Raw genomic sequence first — 19,606 nt, 5'->3', positions numbered from 1 at the left:
TTTAAAAGTCTGCATTCTGACCAACAGTATTTAAGGGTTCTCTTCTCTCCATATCCTTGCCAACATTTGTTACCTCTTGTTTGTTTGCTTATTTATTTATTTACACAGACAAGGTCTTGCTGTGTTGCCTAGGTTGGCCTCAAATTACTGGGCTCAAGTGGTCCTTATACCTCAGCCTCCCGAGTAGCTGGGACTAAAGGCATGTGCCACCTCACCTGGCTACCTCTTGTTTTTTGCTAATGCCATTCCAACAGGAGTGGGGAGATATCTCATTGTGGTTTTGATTTGTTATTTCCATCATGATTAGTGATGTTGAGCACCTTTCCATAAACCTGAAGACTATTTTTTGACTTATTTGGAGAAATGCCTATTTAGGTCCTTTGCTCATTTAAAAATCTGGTTATTTGCTGGGTGCGGTGGCTCACACCTGTAATCCCAGCACTTTGGGAGGCCGAGGCGGGTGGATCAAAAGGTCAGGAGATCGAGACCATCCTGGCTAACACGGTGAAACCCTGTCTCTACTAAAAATACAAAAAATTAGCTGGGCATGGTGGTGGGCGCCTGTAGTCCCAGCTACTCGGTAGGCTGAGGCAGGAGAATGGCATGAACTTGGGAGGCGGAGCTTGCAGTGAGCCGAGATTGTGCCACTGCACTCCAGCCTGGGAGACAGAGCAAGACTCCGTCTCAAAAAAAAAAAAAAAAATCTAGTTATTTGTGTTTTTGTTTTTGTATTTTTTCTGTTGAATTTTATTTTATTTTATTTTATTTTATTTTATTTTATTTTATTTTATTTTATTTTATTTTTTTGGTCGGATTCTCACTCTGTCACCCAGGCTGAAGTGCAGTGGCATGATCTCAACTCACTGCAACCTCCACCGCCCAGGTTCAAGTGATTCTCCTGCCTCAGCCGCCTGAGTAGCTGGGACTACAGGCACACACCACTGTACCTGGCTAATTTTTGTATTTTTAGGAGAGACAAGATTTCAGTATGTTGGCCAGGCTGGTCTCGAACTCCTGATTTCAGGTGATCTACCCACCTTGGCCTCCCAAAGTGTCGGGATTACAGGCATGAGCCACTGTGCCTGGCCTATTGAGTTTTGTTTCTCATATATTTTGAATATTTACCTCTTATCAGATATATGGTTCACAAATGTTTTCTCCCAATCCATAGGCTGCCTTTTAATGTTGTTGTTTCCTTTGCTATGCAGAAGCTTTTTAGTTTGATGTAGTTACACTTCTTTATTTTGCTTTTGTTGCTTATGTTTTTGGTGTTTCATCTGAGAAATCATTGCTACAACCAATGTCAAGAAGTTTTTTCCTATATTTTCTTCTAGGTGTTATACAGTTTCAGGTCTTACTTTTAGGTCTTTCATTCATTTTGAGTTGATTTTTGTGTATGGTGTAAGTTAAGGGTGCAGTTTCATTCTTCTGCATATGGATATCCAGTTTCCCCAATAGCATTTATTGAAGACACTGTCCTTTCCTCATTGTGTCTTCTTGGTGCCCTTGTTGAAAATTAGTTGACCATATATGCTTGGATTTCTTTCTGAACTCTCTGTTCTTTTTTATTGGCCTGTGTGTCTGTTTTTATGTGAGTACCCTACTGTTTTGATTACTGTAGCTTTGTAGGATAATTTGAAGTCAGGGAGTGTGATGCCTCCACTTTATTTTTCTTCCTCAGGATTGCTTTGCCTATTTGAGGTCTTTCATGGTTCCATATGAATCATAGAACTATTTTTCTATTTCTGTGAAAAATGACTTTGGAATGTTAATAGAGATTATGTTGAACCTGTAGACTGCTTTGGATAGTATGGATAGTTTGACAATATTGATTATTCCAATTTATGAACATGGGATGTCTTACCATTTATTTGTGTCTTCTTTGATTTCTTTTATCAATGTGTTATAGTTTCAGTGTACAGACCTTTCACCTCCTTGGTTAAATTTATTCCTATTTTGTTGCTTTTGAAATTGTAAATCGGATCATTTTCTTGATTTTTTTTTTTTTTGGATAGGTCATATTTGCTGTAGACAAATGCAACTGGTTTTTGTATGTTGATTTTTTTTATCTTGCAACTTTACTGAATTCATCTATTATTTTAACAGTTTTTTTATGGGGTCTTTATAGGGCTTTCTACATGTAGGATCATGTTACTTACAAATAGGGATAATTTTACTTCTTCCTTCCCTATTTGAGTGCCTTTTCTTGTTCTTGCCTTATTGATTTTTTTTTTTTTTGAGATGGAGTCTCACACTGTCACCTAGGCTGGAGTGCAGTGGTGTAATCTTGACTCACTGCAACCTCTGCCTCCTAGGTTCTAGAGATTCTCTTGTCTTGGCCTCCCAAGTAGCTGGGATTACAGGTGCACGCCACCATTCCCAGCTAATTTTTGTATTTTCAGTAGAGGCGGGGTTTCACCACGTTGGCCAGGCTGGTCTTGAACTCCTGACTTCAAGTGATCTGCCTGCCTCGGCCTCCTAAAGTTCTGGGATTACAGGCGTGAGCCACCACACCCAGCCTGCCTTATTGATCTTGCTAGTACTTCCAATATTACGTTGATAGATGTGGCAAGAGTGGGCATTCTTGCCCTATATGGAATCTTAAGGAAAAAGCTTTTAGTTTTTCCCCATTGAGTATGATATTAGCTGTGTGCTTCTCATAAGTGACCTTTATTATGCTGAGGAAACTACTTTGTTTAACCTAATTTCTTGAGAATTTTCAACATGAAAGGATGTTAAACTTTGTTAAATGCTTTTTGTGCATATATTGAGATGATCATATGGTTTTTAGCCCTCATTCTGTTAATGTGATGTATCACATTAATTTACTTGCATGTGTTAAATCAACCTTGCATCCCAGGGATATACATTGTGGTCACAATGTATAATAATTTGATGTATTATCAAATTCAGGATGCTCATGTTTTATTGAGGATTTTTGCTTCTATGTTTATCAGAGATATTGGCCTATACTTTTCTTGTGGTGCCTTTTTTGGGCTTTGGTACCATGATAATCATGGTCTTATAAAATGAGTTTGGAAGTATTGCCTCTAGTTCTATTTTTGAAAGAATTTAAGAAGAATTGTTGTTAATTCTTTTTTTAATGTTTGGTAGAATTCAGCAGTGAAGCCATCTGGTCTTGGGCTTTTCTTTGTTGGGAGGCTTTTAATTACTACATCAGTCTATATTTGTTATTGGTTTGGTCAGACCTTCTGTTTCTTCTTGATTCAGTCTTGGTAGGTTATGCTTCTAGGAATTTATCTATTTCTCTAAGTTATCCAATTTGTTGGCATATAGTTGTTTATAACAACCCCTTCTGATCCTTTTCTCTGCGGGGGGCTGCTGGAGCTAGGGAGTTCCTCTCTGTGCTGATCACAGCTATAGGGCAGATGACAGATGGGTTGGTGCAGAGAAAATGAAACTGTTCTTCCTATTATTTTTGGGAGGTGATTCTCATGGCTTTTTTTTTTTTTTAATTTCACTGTATTGTTGAGGCTACTTAAGTAGACTGCTAAGCTCTTCCAGAAACACTTTTTTTTTTCATGGACAGTTGCTGAATTGTTGCTCTTCATGGGGGAAGTGATGGCTGGGGTCTCCTACTCCACCATCTTGCTAGTGTCTCACCCTTTCTTATATTATATTTGTAAATCAGTGAGAAAATCAAAAGTGAATTGAATTATCAGACTAAAAATAAAAAACACTTTGAACTTAAGTTACTATCTTGTAAGTTACATAAGCCTGAGAGTGAAATGTTAAGGGCTCTTCCTTGCCAAAGGCAGTAAGATGAATGGAAATGGGCTAGTATTATATTTGCTTTGCTTGTTGCTGCTGTAGAGCTTCCTGTTCTGAAAACATCTCTGGCCAGTTTCTATGTGGGTATTAAGAGGATAATTTTGCTCTAGGTGAATTGGCTTGAGACCAAAGAAGAAGTGACAATCTTTGGAATGTTAAATTGTTACAGGGAATTCATTACAACTGTATCCCTATGAAGGAGATCCTCCTTATGTGAGGATATTCATGTTGGAACCAATTGATACCAAAATTGGGGACCAAAATTTGTATATGTAATGAGAGGAAAGTTAGTAACTTTAGATTGGACCTTCATCTTGCAAATGAAATTAAATGGTATGAAATGAGTGTTTAACTCTTACATTTAACAAAATGTAGGTGACAAGTGAAACTGTGCTCATTTTTAGAAGGAACAAAGAATGAAACTCAAATATCAGTTTTCATTAGGGCATAATTTTTCCAGTAAAATTGACAGCTACCATGATGGAATATCTGTTACTCCTTTGGCCTTTACACTACTGTCTTTTAAAAGAGAATCAGTTTGCCAAAAGTATACTGGAGAGGTTCATTAGCTTTCTCTGCTGCCTCTTTAATACATTGCTACTCAAATAGTTACTTTGCAGTTCCTCTTCTGCCATCATCTTTGTTAACTATCCAAGCTCAGCAGATCCTCACTTGTTGATGACTCTGACTGATATTCAGTGGTCCCCCACAACTTCACCTTCATTGAGTGTGTGCCATGTGCCAGACACAGTGGTGGGTGCTGGGTACTGGGATGATGTGGCCCCTGCTCTTCAAGCCACACAGCAGGGGCCAGCAGGAGGAGACACACACTTGAAGAGTAGCAATTCCAAACATAGTCTACAAAATAGTTCAAAGAATAGCACTATTCACAATAACAAAGACATAGAATCAACCTAAATGCCTGTCAATGATAGGCTGGATAAAAAAAATGTGGTGCATATACACCATGGAATACTATGCAGCCATGAAAAAGAATGAGATCGTGTCCTTTGCAAGGACATGGATGGAGCTGGAGGCCCTTATCCTTAGCAAACTAACACAGGAACAGAAAACCAAATTACCACATGTTCTCACTTGTAAGTCGGAACTAAATGATGAGAACACATGGACACATAGAGGGGAACAACACACACTGGGGACTATTGGAGGGTGGAAGGTGGGAGGAGGGAGAGGATCAGGAAAAATAAATAATGGATACTAGACGTAATACCTCAGTAATGAAATAATCTGTACAACAAACCCCCATGACACAAGTTTACCTATGTAACAAACCTACACATCCTGCACAAGTACCCCTGAACTTAAAATAAAAGTTAAAAAAAAAGTAAAGAATAAACAATTTCAGCTCAATGTTGAGAATCCTAAAGGCTCCCTGTAGGAAGTGGCATTTGAAAGGGGCAGAGTTTGAGAGCTGAAATGGGATGGGATAGCCAGAGAGGGCACAGTTCAGGAAAAGCTCGAGTGAGAACACAGGATGAGTCCAGAGGAGAGTGAGTTACAAGCTGTGCAATTTATTTAATGGCTGGGGTGTAGGAGAGGCAGGGAGGATCAGAGGAAGTTCAGGGTGAAAGGTAGGGGAGGCTTCCCCTTCTTGTAGACGTTATATACAAGAATAAGGTTAGTGAGTCTTTATTGACTGTCCACTAGACAGTGTAGATAGAGCCGTTTATAAGATAGTGTACGTATCCTTATGGGAAATAACAGATTGTATATAAATAATCTCAATTATTAAATATGTTCTGGAGTGTTTAAGAGGGTTACTTAACCTAGGCATGAGAGGGCAAGGAAAGCTTCTTGTGAAGCCTGGATTAGTTGTGTTTAAGCTGAGACTTGAAGGATCAAAAGGAATTTAAGAAGAGGGTTGGGAAAGAGAGACTGGGAACCCGCTAAAGACAGAGGGTATAGCTTAAAAAGGCTGGAGGCAGCAGAGAGCTGGGACCTTAGAAGAACCAAGGAAAGTTTAGAGCTGTGCTGTCCAATGTGGTAGTTACAGTCGCGTGTGACTCTTGAACACTTGAACAGTGGCTAGTGCAACCAAGGAACTGAATTAATTTGTCGAGAATACCAATAGAGTGGACAAGGAGAGAGGTTTTCATTAGGACACAGAGGAGCATTAGAGAAAGATTTTGTGAGATATGGTAGACCATGCCACTAAAGGGTTGTGGGTCATGCTGGGACATAATCAAATTGGCATTCTGAGAATTGGCCTGGGAACAAGATGCAGCTGCTGGGTTTCAGCAAGAAAGTGATGATAATAAAGCTGCTCCTAAGGAAGGCTGATCTGGAGTGGAACATGGGTTGGACAGGTCAGGGTATGGAGGGAGGAGGAGAAGCCAGAGGGAAGTGGTGGAGCATAGCGGTTAATAACACAGGCTCTGGAGCTATTATGGCCAGAGCCAAACCTGGATCTGCCATCTTCGGTTTGACTGAAGGAAGGATGCTTCAACTAAGTGAGCAGTGCTTGTCCCCAGAGCTGGCCCACCTCCCACAGCTCTGGGTGGGTAACAGAAGGGCTGCTTGAGCTTGCAGCCAAGCCCCTGGGAGCCACTGTGAATTGCTGTTCCAGGGCTGGGGCGCGGGGGCGATGTTCTCCTGTTTTTTAATTGTTTCACTTGGTACAGAAATTAAGGGCCCTTGGCGACATCTCATTCAACCTTTTTTTTTGCCTTATTTGGTAAGCTTTTCACTTAACTTTTATAGAAAGTCTGTTATTCTCATCTGCTTCCCATAAGAAGATGTTTGGCAGTGGCAGAGAGTCCCAGGACTTACGGGGAGGAGTGGTTTCCTGAGGGTCCCCCACAACATTCTCATAGAGCTTGCTTTCCCCGCTTGCAGACCAAGTGGACTGAGGGAGCAAATTCTCATTCTCTCTGGAGAAGACTGAGCAGTGTGGCTGGAAAGGTGGAATGAGAAGTGGGGCAGGGCAGTGTATGAAAAGTTCAGACTCTGTGGTTGCAAGAAACTCTAGTTAGCAACATTAGAAAATGAGTTTTCACTGAAAAGGAAGCTTATGGAATCCAAGTGCTGGGTGCTGCTGGCCCTGAGGAAGCGCTGGTGGTGGGAACCCGAGCCTATCGGGGGTTCCATCTCTCCTGCCTTTTCTGCATTTGGGTCTATGTGGTAACATCAGCCAACCCATAGCTCTTGAATTTACCTTTTATAGATCCAGCCAAAAGCTGGGAGGCAGCCCAGCTTGGGTCAGTTTTCATCCTTGTACCAGTCAGGCCTAGCTTGCTGAGAATGGCCACATGGAAAAAGCAAGGCTTCTGGGCAGCCCTTTCCATGGTCCCTTAGGGCAGGGGCTCTGTTTGATTGTTTTCAGAATCATATATCATATCATATCATATCATATCATATCATATCATATCATATCAAATCTGTACCAGAATTACATACTATAAATATATAATATAATAACCTAGAGGGTATCTGGGATATTATATCAAAACTTATTCTAAAACCCACGTTTCCTCCCCCATACCTGTTGTGTCCCCAGTCACTCTGATATAATGTTTTTTATAAGGAAACTTTTTTGATTCTGCTCAATTTTTCATAAAATTGGCTACTTACACAGGAGAGGAGGGACACAACCTAATTTTATATGGTATTTATGAAATATATTTTTTGCGGTAAGGCGGGTTGACCTATAGAATTGCAGTGAACGTACATCTTCCAAGAATTAAAATGCACTGTGTGTGAAAGATTACATTTGAGATGATCATGATTTATAAAGAAAAACATAGTTTTTTGGGCTGGGGGCAGTGGCTCACTCCTGTAATCCCAGAGCTTTGGGAGGCTGCGGTGGGTGGATCACCTGAGGTTGGGAGTTCAAGACCAGCCTGATCAACATGGAGAAACCCCGTCTCTGCTAAAAATACAAAATTAGCCAGGCACGGTGGCACAGGCCTGTAATCCCGTTACTCAGGAGGCTGAGGCAGGAGAATCACTTGAACCTGGTAGGTGGAGTTTGCTGTGAGCCGAGATCATGCCATTGCACTCCAGCCTGGGCAACAAGAGCAAAACTCAGTCTCAAAAAAAAAAAAAATTAATTAATTAATTAAAAGAAAAACATAGTTTTAAGGTTCAAAGCAGCTACCTGGTGAATGAAAGAGATACAATTTTCCTATATTAACTACTTTGGTAAATTTTAGGGGTAAAATGAAAATAAATCAAAGTTTAAGTTGTACAAAGTGGAGTTTGGGGCACTCTCTATGATACATGCTGCTTCTCCATCTCGAATATCACGTGAACAAAGGTACATTTCCAGTTTATATCAGGGTTGGCAAACTACAGCCCATGGGCCAAATCCAGCCAGCTCCCTGGTTTAGTACATAAAGTTTTTTGTTTGTTTGTTTGTTTTGTTTTCTTGAGACGGAGTCTCGCTGTGTTGCCCAGGCTGGAGTGCAGTGGCGCGATCTTGGCTCACTACAAGCTCCGCCTCCCGGGTTCACGCCATTCTCCTACCTCAGCCTCCCGAGTAGCTGGGACTACAGGGGCCCACCACCACGCCCGGCTAATTTTTTGTATTTTTAGTAGAGACGGGGTTTCACCATTCACAGGATGGTCTCAATCTCCTGACCTCGTGATCCGCCCGCCTCCACCTCCCAAAGTGCTGGGATTACAGGCGTGAGCCACCGCGCCCGGCCAGTACATATTTTATTGGAGGACTAGCACACCCATTTGTTCACACATTGTCTCTGGCTGCATTCAGGCTATAGCAAGAGAGCTGAGTAGCTGTGACAGAGACTGTATGGCCTTCAAAGCTGAAAATATTTATTATCTGGCCCTTTACAGAAAGAATTTACCAATCCCTAGTCTAGATCATCTTGGTCAGTGAGTTTTAAAGGTGCACTGCAGGGTCCTAGAGTCTAGGATCTGCTGTGAGGTGAGACCCAGCAGGGCAGGGCATCTGGCCCCCTAGTCCTGCTGCATCCAGAGGAGTTTGGCTGCCCTTTTTGCTCTCAGGCTTCTGTGCATGACTTGATATGAAGAATGAAAGGATTATCCTACTTAAAAAATTGTGTATAAGCTGCCGGTCTGAAAGCACAGGGACGCATTCAGAAGAGAGAGAAGGTCACCCTGAATATGTCTAATTATCTCCATTGTGAACTGAAGTGGCTGGTACTGTGACATGATGTCTCCAACCTAAAAAATAAAAAATCCTTGATGAGAATTTTTAAGCCAGGATAAACCTCTGTAATTACTAACATGCTGGGAATTGCTTTTACATCTCTGGCAGTCCATTTCCCCTTTTTTGTAGACAAAGATGATAAACTTCATTCTGTGCTAGAATCAGATTTAAAAAAAGAAAATATGACTGGAGTTGACTAATGGAGTGAATGTCATACATGCAAGGCAATGGCCGAAAAGCAAAATGTGCCAAATCCTCTATATTTGTCCTAATTGTGAAAGCATCAACACATTAATTTGGCCTTGAACGTGATGCCATGGAAAATGGCCTTTTGCTTGGTAAATTCCTCAAGTATTGCTGTTTTTGTAACTTCAGTGAAATATGAGCTGCTAGAGTTATTCAGGGTGGGAAATGGAGCCTTAGCATTGGGCAGATAAGGATGAGGCTGTTTGGTTTGACGTAAGTTAAATTGCCTGAACTGCAGGTGGTTCTCAAGCTTGCCATCCCTGATGAAGACTGTAACCATGATGCATTAATGTGTATTATAAACCAAAAGAATTGAAATATTTTGCCACTTTACTAGGGCAGAAACTTGGAACATATGTTTGGAAATGAATTTTCAGTATTTTAAATCAGAGAGGATGGGATTTATTGTTGAACCAAGCACAATTTTAGATATATATAGATGAAAGTCATCTGGAGGTGTCCGGAAGATCACCTGGAATCGAAAACCTAGAAGAGATTGGGGGTGGGTAGCACTTGTTTCATTCCAGTGGTTTTACATACATTATCTCATTTAATCCTCATGGTGACCCTCTGAGGTAGAATTATTACCCCCATTTAAAAGATATGGAAGCTGGTTAATTCTTTTCAAGGTCACAAAAGTAAGTATTTAAACATATGGCCTGTATTAGTCCATTTTTACATGGATATAAAGAGATGCCTGAGACTGGGTAATTTATAAAGGAAAGAGGTTTAATTGACTCACAGTTCTGCATGGCTGGGGAGGCCTCAGGAAACCTATAATCATGGTAGAAGGGGAAGCAGGCACCTTATTCACAAGGCGGCAGGAGAGAGAGAAAAGTGAAGGAGGAACCTCCAAACACTTATAAAACCATCAGATCTCATGAGAACTCATTCACTATCATGAAAACCACATGGGGGAAATTGCCCACATGATTCAATCACTTCCTTCCCTCAACACATGGGGATTACAGGTCCCTCCCTCGACATGTGGGAATTAGAATTCAAGATGAGATTTGTGTGGGGACACAAAGCTAAACCGTATCATGGTCCAGTCTTTCTGTTACATCAGGCTGCCTCCCATAAAAAAAAAAAAATTCCTGGAAATTAAGTCACTGGTTACAACAAAAGAAAAGATAAATTATGAAGTTTTCCTGGAAATCAAGAGCAAACTCTCTCGACATGTTAAGGAGAGAAAATAAATCTGTCTCAAATACCTGGATATTGAGATAATTCTCATTAGGAGCTATTAACTTCAGAGCCACAGTCAGCTCATGTTAGTTTAATTTTGTGTCCAACTCTCTGTTATTCAGTACTCACTTTATTTCAAGGTGATTTTAATCACCTGTTGGAAATGAGCACTTAGCAAGTTAATGTTTTTGAAATATTAACCAATGTGATTTTCATTCATGGTAAGTACTGGTTGTTCCTAGTTGTCTCTGCAGGTCTCCTCCTGGCAATTCATAGGCATTCTTTCGTTCTGTGGAAGGGGTAATGGCTCACTTTAAAGCTTTCAGACAGAGTTTAAAAAATTACAGTAGTCTGAACACCAAGTTACGTTTGATTTGCCATAGCTAGCCTTGTGGAAAGAGAGATGATTTTTCTTGTCCTTGTAGAGGAAGATCCACATTGAGGGAACTGTTTTGGAGTTTATCTTTAACCTGCTGTGTCTCAAGCTGTAATGAGCTTACCATGTACCTGGGAATCTTGTCAAATGCAGCTTTCAGTTAATTAGGTCTGAGGTGGAGCCTGAGATTCTGCATTTCTAATTAGCTCCTAGGCAACGACATTCATGCTGCTGGTCCGCAGACCATTTTGAACAGTGAGGGTCTAAGCCATAGAGTAGAGAATGCCTAAATGGCAGGAGAGCACTTATCCAACCCAAAGGAAAGAAAGAATTCAACCCACTGGCAGAAAGAGATGGATCCAAGGGGACGTGATTGGACTTGCAAAGCAGATGGGTGCCTGAGTAGAGATTCCCTGCACTCTGCCTCATTCCAGGTGAGGGAAGAAGGAAATAGATGTGGGCTCCTCAGATCCAGAAATTTCTCGAAAGTATCTAGGCTGTATATTCCTCAGGAGGAGCCCAGAGAAGCAGGGTAAATGAGCTTGCCTCCCAGGGCAGCCCAGGGAGATGAGATGATGCACATTCAATAGGCCTCTTGCATGGTCAAGATGGTAGTGGCTGAGGACAGCCTTATAGGACTCAAGCCCCAGTGTGGTGTGGCGAAAGCAGCTGCGGGGTCTTGAGCTATCAAAGGGAGCTGAGACAGTTGGAAAACTAGGGAAGCCCAGGATGGGGATGAGAAGGACTCAAGAGTGTGTGGACCTTGTTGGAGTCCGTGGTGGGGGTTACAGCCTTAAGTAGTTGATGCCAGAGGCCAACACCTAAATGTAGATGGCACCAGCTATTCTCACACATCCATAGAGGACAAGTGTGCCCCAGAGGCCACTTTCCCAGTGTCAAGAAGTTAGAGGTAGATGAAAAGATGGAGAAAGGAGAGAGTCTTCAGGGACAGGTGTGAACAAATGATAACTGTGTTACTTCTAAGTCAAGATTAAGGCCGTTGTCCCTTTATTCTCCACTAGGGGATGGAAATAAGAATTGTGAACTACGTTGAAATTTCATTATGGAGATATAATATTTGTATACCAAATAAAACATTATATTTGGCACATGGTCTTTGAATAATTGCTACAATAATTTTTCACCGGAATTAGCTAAATTATTATCTTCTTTTTTCACATTAGTGACTAAACTATATTCTTTGACTATTTAACAGGTGTTAGATATAATGTTCTTTATGTATATTATTACACTTAATTTGGGAAGTATGTACAATTATTTAATATTGTGAGGCAGAGACTATTGTTATCCCACATTTTACAGTTGAGGAAACTGAGGCTCAGGAAAATTAGCTTACTTGTCCAAGGTGACACAACTGATAGATGAATGAGGCTGGAGTTACTGATTCAACATTCATTTTGGGCTTTCAGATCCCGGCCCGGGACTTGACACATACATAATAAGAGCACAGTAAATATTTGAATGAATGAATGAATGATTGTGCAAATGTGCAACAGTGTCAGCTGGCCAGTTGGTATGTGGGGAATCCTGTTCTGAGCAAGGTAAGGAAAGAAAAATGAGCCAGAGGTGGGGCCTCCTCCTTAACAGTGAATCTGCTGTCCCTAATGTGCTAATTCTAACTCAGAGTGGAGCCTTTGAAAATACTTGCGGGTCCTGTCAGAAAATACACAGAATGTAAACGAGCAGGATTCCATCAACTTACATTTTCAAAGTGAAAAAAAAAAGGGGTTTAAGGGCTCTTAAGGAATGCTGTTAACTCTTGGGCTGAGTATAGTTGTTGGGGGGTGCTTTAGAATATGTGAGGAGCCAAGGAAGTATTTCAAATTAGTCTCTGCCTGTTAGAGTCACTTTGCAACATCCCATCATGCCGCAGCAATCCATGGGGAAAATAAAAGGGGACGACATAAAGCAATTACAAGCCAGCTCTCTGGTGCAAAGCTGTGCCAGGTTTGAAACTTGGGCGCTAGCCCTCTCCCAATCCATCTAAACTAACTGACAATACTTTAGTCTGGTTTCCACTTTGCATTTTGGTCCCTGTTAATCCCATTGAAACACCAATCCTATATGCAGGTATTAAACTCTTATTAAGACCTTGAGGTTGAATTCCTAAGTAAGAGCTTTTCTTTGAGTTTGGGAAATTTTTATTTTATTTTTTTGAGACAAGATCTTCCTCTGTAGCCCAGGCTGGATTGCAGTGGTGCGATTATAACTCGTTGCAGATTCGCACCCCTGGGCTCAAGTTATCCTCAGCCTTGGCCTCTCAAAGTGCTGGGATTATAGAGCCACCACAACAGACCTGGGGAGTCTTTAGCATTTGTATCTCATATATAGGGAGAGGCTTCTTAAAGTCTGAGAGATGTGCAAACAAATGAGCATTTCCAGAGCCTTCCAGTTGCTGTGCATGTTTGACCTGGACTGAACCACAAGTGGTCTGTACACCTACAGTTATCTCTCAAGCCTCCCATTCATAACTGAGGCTAAAATGTTCCAAATTTGGTGTAAACTGGGACAACTATTTTGGGAAAAAAGCTTGTCAACATAAATGAGTCTAACCTTTTGATTCCGTAACTCCACTTCTGGAAGATATCCTTTAGAGATGATTTTTAGTAGAGAAAACATTTTGTGCCTAAAGAAGTTGAGAGCAATTCCTCCCTTTTTTAGAAAAAGAAAAGTAAGTTTTCTTAAACAGTTTTTTAAATAAGGTAAAACTTTTTTAAATAAGAGAAAACTTAAAATTTTCTAAATAGGAATCTGGCAGTGATAGAATATCATATAGCCATCAAAATTATTTTAAAAGTACCAAGCTGGGATTACTTGTATTTATTTTTAATCTTCATTAAGTTATTATTATTACATTTTTCAGTCTTGAGAGAAGGGAATGGTCTCTGGAGCCAGAGTTTGTGAACACATGATTCCTTCTTAGAATAACCAGCTGGTAAGGTACAGCAGTGAAAAACACTGGAACAGGTGTGAGAGTTGGAGATCTGGCTGTGGCTCATGCTGTCCCTAGAAGATGTGGAACCTGAGACCACTTAGCCAGGACCACCTGAACAAAGTACTCTGAAAGTTGCTACATAGCTGACGTCTCCATAGGTTCCCTGGGGTGCCCATAAGCACAATGCCCACAGTTGTATTTTTAAAAAGTTTTCTATCTATTTCCAAGTGAAGATCTATTTAAGTTTTCAGGATAGTTTGTAATAACATCTCTGGAAGCTGCTTTTGTAATTCCAATGTTAGCATCCCATGTAATATTTTCTTCAGTTGGGCAAATGTAAGGCATGTCTTTTTTTTTTTTTTTTTTTGAGACAGAGTTTTGCTCTTGTTGCCCAGGCTGGAGTTCAATGGCGCGACCTTGGCTCACCACAACCTCTGCCTCCTGGATTCAAGCAATTCTCCTGCCTCAGCCTCCTAAGTAGCTGAGACTACAGGCATGCACCACCACACCCAGATAATTGTTTTGCATTTTTAGTAGAGACGGGGTTTCTCCATGTTGGCCAGGCTGGTCTCAAACTCCTGACCTCAGGCAATCTGCCCACCTCGGCCTCCCAAAGTGCTGGGATTACAGGCATGAGCCACTGTGCCCGGCCAGGCATGCCCCTGTTAAAGCTATTATTTTATGCGTAATACTTTGGTTTTTGATGTCCACAGTCATTGCTAGATATTGTGGTTGTCCTTCAGGTTTAACCTTAGATGGAACATGTATGGGAGGCATCAGAAATAACTCTCACACACTCTTAATTTGTGTTTTTACAAAACTATAACAATAAAACGTATAGAGATGAACTATAACATTAAGATCAATTTTCAGCCAGATTAAAAAATAACCATAAGAACTTGGAAGGAAAGTATTATTTTAGGTTTTAAAATCAATATTTTAACTGTTATAGGATGTCCAAGCCTAATAGGCACTTAGCATGAAGCCTCCAGACCTCCCACAGGAGAATTTTAATGCTAAGGATGAGGAGCAAGGGGGAGCACCTTACAGCCTCCCTCCTGCTTTCACCCAGCCCTCGGGTTACAAAGACACACCTGCCATGGAACTTGACCAGCTATAAGGCAGCGCTGAGAACCAGGACTTCAATTACTTCAATTGAGGACCAGTTACTTCAATTACTGGGGCCCTCCTGTGTAAAATATGGAGGCAAGAGTTGAATTAGATTAGCATTTCCCAAACATTGTTTTGAGAAACTCCAGCACTCTATGAGGAGTTCAGAGGCATCTACAAGTAAAGAGTTTCCCTGACTGAATACAAGTGCGGAATGCCACGTCTCCGTTTAGAGATTTCCAATATAGGTTAACATATTTAAGGCTGTGAGATATCCTATGGTTAAGATGTATTTTCCACAGCATTTCACCTAGCATGTGTTAAATGCATTTGATGGCAGAATCCTGCTATCAAGAAATATACTTTGGGAAACACTGAACTAAGTTTCTTCTTAGCTCCAAATTTCTACAGTTTTAAATATGCCATCCAAATGTTGCTTAGCAACATTACAGCCACCTCATTTGCCCACTAGATGGCAGCCTTGAATGAGATTTATTTTTTTCTTCTTGCCAGGTTTCTCTTTGGACATTTTTGGACATTGCTTTTCCTGTGTACCAGGAGAGTGCAGATCAGTTATTAAATTGATTTTAAGGCCATTCTGGTAACATTTTACAATCCATTTAAAATAAAACAGTTGTATCAACTGTAGGGATAAATACCAGCCAAGATTGAAATAGTATATGATTTTTTGAGCTTTTTTTCTTTTAAACTCACTGAACAATACTGATAATGTCTTACTTTTTTGCATTTTACAGAGTTTAGCCAGACAGAATTTAACTGGACATTTGGGTTGTTCTGTTGATCAACTTGAAAGGTTGGATTGTGAGGCTGTTGGGAACTTTCTGTAGTTTCTGGTGGCAGTTGGGAAACTTCTTTAGTTTCTATGGTGGGTGAGAAATGTCTTCAGCCCTTACATGTGTATAACTTTGTTTGGGATCCCTGCAATATTATCGTGTTTAGATGGCAGTGCACCTTCAGAAGGTCTCACTCTCCAGGCAGCCTGTGTTAAGTGGTCTCTTAAAGTCTCCTTCATGTTCTAGTAAATTTTTGATTGGCTCTTTATTCAACATAGTTTGCTATTAGGCATTAAGATTTTGCTGGTTTGCGGGTTCATCAGTTAGTCCATCTTTCACTGGGTCTCACTGTTATAAGGTTAAAGCACCTTAGTGATCCCCGTCCCATACTTGGAGTTCATGGAATTTCACACATCCATTTAAGTGTGCCCAGGAGTTTTAGAAAATGAAGGCAACTTTACTTAGGTATAGTCATGCTTCAGGTTTGTTCAACTGACGGATGTTTACCTATTAGAAATGTATGCCTTTTTATTGATGGAAAGGGAGCTTTTAAAATATATAATGAGGGGGCTTCCTGAAGTGCTTCCTGAATTACCTGAATATGTGTGCGTATGTGGAGTGGGTGAGAAGCCAAACTCTGGAACAAGCGCCTCAGCTTGCTCTTCTGTTCCAGTTTTGGTGTACGTACTGCTGAAGCGAGCGTGTCATCTTGCTCTTTCAATGCTACATTTTGAAGGTGAAATATTTGTAAGCCCTCTTAGATCTTATTCCAGGAAAAGATTCTTCCTGAACCCCAAATAGCACTCCAAGGACATTAAAATTCTCATACTTCCTAAAGGTAAGCTGTTTGAATAGCAGTTTTCTTAGTGTGATGATCTGATCTACTCCTGTCTCTTGCCTCATGTTGTGGGAGATTTTTCTTTGCTTTTTCCTCCATAATATACAGCATGGCATGGGCCCTAGTTTTTAGTTTATCTTTGGACTTTAGATTTTTGGGTGGTATGGTGCAAAACCATTTGTGGGTGCACTCTTACTGTGTAAGAATATCCATTTAAGAAATTTGATGGCCGGGCGTGGTGGCTCACGCCTGTAATCCCAGCACTTTGGGAGGCGGAGGCAGGTGGATCACAAGGTCAGGAGTTCAAGACCAGCCTGGCCCAAATGGCGAAACCCCGTCTCTACTAAATATACAAAAATTAGCCGGGTGTGGTGGCGGGCGCCTGTAATCCCAGCTACTCAGGAGGCTGAGGCAGGAGAATCGCTTGAACCCGGGAGGTGGAGGTTGTGGTGAGCCGATATTGTGCCACTGCACTCCAGCCTGGGTGACAGAGTAAGACTCCGTCTCAAAAAAAAAAAAAAAAAAAAGAAATTTGATGCAGATTTTGTGAGTGTGGTTTATAATGGAAATGTCAGATAAAATGGATACTAATCTTAGTTAATACATATTGAGCACTTACTGTTGCAGGCATTGTGCCTAGCATTTTACATGTATTAGCTCATTTAATTCTCACAGCAACCTGTAGTGTGTAGATGCTATTGCTATGACATTTTCAGATGAAGAAACTGAGGGTTAGAAAGGTTAAACAGGTGAATTAGGCCGGGCACGGTGGTTCACGCCTGTAATCCCAGCACTTTGGGAGGCCGAGGCTGGCAGATCACAAGGTCAGGAGATCGAGACCATCCTGGCTAACACAGTGAAACCCCGTCTCTACTAAAAATACAAAAAAATTAGCTGGGCGTGGTGGCGGGCGCCTGTAGTCACAGCTACTCGGGAGGCTGAGGCAGGAGAATGGCGTGAACCCGGGAGGCGGAGCTTGCAGTGAGCTGAGATTGCACCACTGCACTCCAGCCTGGATGACAGAGCGAGACTCTGTCTCAAAAAAAAAAGGTGAATTAATGTCACATTCTTTGTAAGTGGCCCAGCAAGGACTGCAAACAGGTCTCTCATGCCTCATGTTTTACCAGCATATGTATGATATGAAATATTTGCATCTTAAATGTTTTCAAAACATGCATATGCATCCTTGTAAGGTTGAGGTGGGCTAAGCTGAGTGGCCACAATGTAGCAAGAAATTCTCCTGATAATAAGAACCCAACTGCCAATTTTGCTCTCAGCTCTAGACACCAAGATTTCTTGGCCTGATGGCCTCATGTTCAAATACATTTGGCCATGTTTCTCAAAACACTGAGTTACTATACTTTGCATTAACAGTGCTTGGCTTTGTCTTTTATGCAGAAAGCCCCTCCAGGCCTCTGTAATGTGCTAAAAAAGATCTTGTCTAAAACTCATGAAAATAAATAACATAAACTGTTCTGAATAAATTTGGGTTAAGTGAACAGAACTCTTTTCTGTGTACGTGTATTGCATACATACAGTTGTGTGTGCCTGTGAACACGTGTTTTGTTGCTGGGTCTAGGACCAATATCCTCTGTAGTGAAGAATATCTCAGAATTTCCATTATAAATTATTTTAGGGGTTTATAACTAATACTGTAAAAAATTCAGCACTGCCTGGAATGTACTTTATTGTGTTTACAGAATTAGTTATTGGAAAGAAGCATGTAGAAGCAAATATGTCTTTGCCTTAGCCATTTGAGGTGGTGCAAATGTTTGCATAATTGTTGGCAAGGATGGGACGCTATTGAAAGCAGAGTAGGGAGCTCAAGGATTCAGGAGATAAAGAGTAACAAATCAGTTTGATTTGGGATAACTGAGGAGCAAATGGAAAATTCGATCTTGAATGTTGATTATAAATAGGAAGACCGTGCAGCATATCAATACATTTTGTGGCTAAATCCCATTTTTAAAAGAAAATAATTGGTAGTAGGGCCAGGCACAGTGACTCACACCTGTAATCCTAGCAGTTTGGGAGGCCGAGGCAGGAGAATTGCTTGAGGCCAGGAGTTCAAGACCAGTCTGGGCAATATAGCGAGACTCTGTCTGTAAAAAAAATTTTTTAAATTACCTGGGCATGGTGGTGCATGCTTTTAGTCCTAGGTATTCGGGAGGCTGAGGAGGTGGGAGGATCTCTTGAGCCCAGGAATTCCAGGTTACAATGAACTATGATTGTGTCACTGAACTCTAGCCTAGGCAACGGAGCAAGACTCTGTCTCTAAAACAAAAAATAAACCAACAAACTAAGGAAAAGAATTGGTAGGAATGAAAAAATTACAAGAATTATTAGAGGAAGATAGGTTTACTTTCACCATCAAGACCAAGACTTAACTCAAAAGTCACCTCATGTGGAATGCCTGCAATTATTATTAAAAGGTATTGGGCATGTCCTGTGTTTCAGATAGCATGTTAAACTCTTTACATGAGTTTTCTCATTTGTTCCACTGAACAAATCCATTTTGCAAAGGAAGAATCTAAAGATCAGTGGGAGGAAATAACTTGCTGAAGGTCATAGAGCAGGAGCTGGTAGAAGAGCTGATTAACTCAGGGGTCCAGGAGCTTGCAGTCTGTACCACGGTGCGCCTAGCCATTCCTCATTTCCCTTATGCACCGACATTCCTTTACCCAGTTGTTTTCAGCTCAGGGGCTCATTAGAACCATCTGAGAAGTTACTTCCCACCCACCACTTTATTCTTGGTCAGTCTTCAATAGTTGTAAGAAAGACTATTTCTCTAATGAAAGCATAATTATTACATAACCCAACCATTTAAAATTTGCACCAGTTTGTATGGACTGGGCAAAAGTTTGCCTTTGCAAAGCATTTACTAAGCAAATTAATAGATTACACTGAAGCAGAAGGGAAATGTTTTTATCATTAAAGAGCACAAATTACTTTCAAGCATAATAGAAAACTATTCATTATAAACAAATTGATAGGAGAACTTCAGGTCATTTTTAGATTTATTAAATATGCTTCTTAGGTGTGCATATTCATAACATATTATTAGCCTGATTGATCACTTGCTTTTAAAAAGTTGTTTCTAAGAAAAATATTCTATAATTCTAACTTTTAATTGCATAAGAGTTGGGATCCCCAC

General features: G+C 40.8%; 1 protein-coding gene across 21 annotated transcripts in view, besides 1 other annotated feature; it reads left to right on the top strand.

Annotated features, from left to right (window-relative positions):
* ERC2 (ELKS/RAB6-interacting/CAST family member 2) overlaps nucleotides 1-19,606 on the top strand; it is a 960,157-nt gene that overhangs the window by 201,633 nt on the left and 738,918 nt on the right. The window lies entirely within an intron of this gene.
* Nucleotides 12,167-12,779: an enhancer, noted in NCBI's record as "OCT4-NANOG hESC enhancer chr3:56288084-56288696 (GRCh37/hg19 assembly coordinates)". NCBI's record gives its function as "activates a minimal SCP1, AML or CMV promoter by ChIP-STARR-seq in primed H9 embryonic stem cells {active_cell/tissue: H9 hESC(primed)}" and the evidence as "EXISTENCE:reporter gene assay evidence [ECO:0000049][PMID:30033119]".

This window comes from Homo sapiens, chromosome 3, assembly GCF_000001405.40.
Source record: "Homo sapiens chromosome 3, GRCh38.p14 Primary Assembly".
Classification (NCBI taxonomy): domain Eukaryota; kingdom Metazoa; phylum Chordata; class Mammalia; order Primates; family Hominidae; genus Homo; species Homo sapiens.
This window is presented reverse-complemented; position numbering and strand designations above follow the sequence as displayed.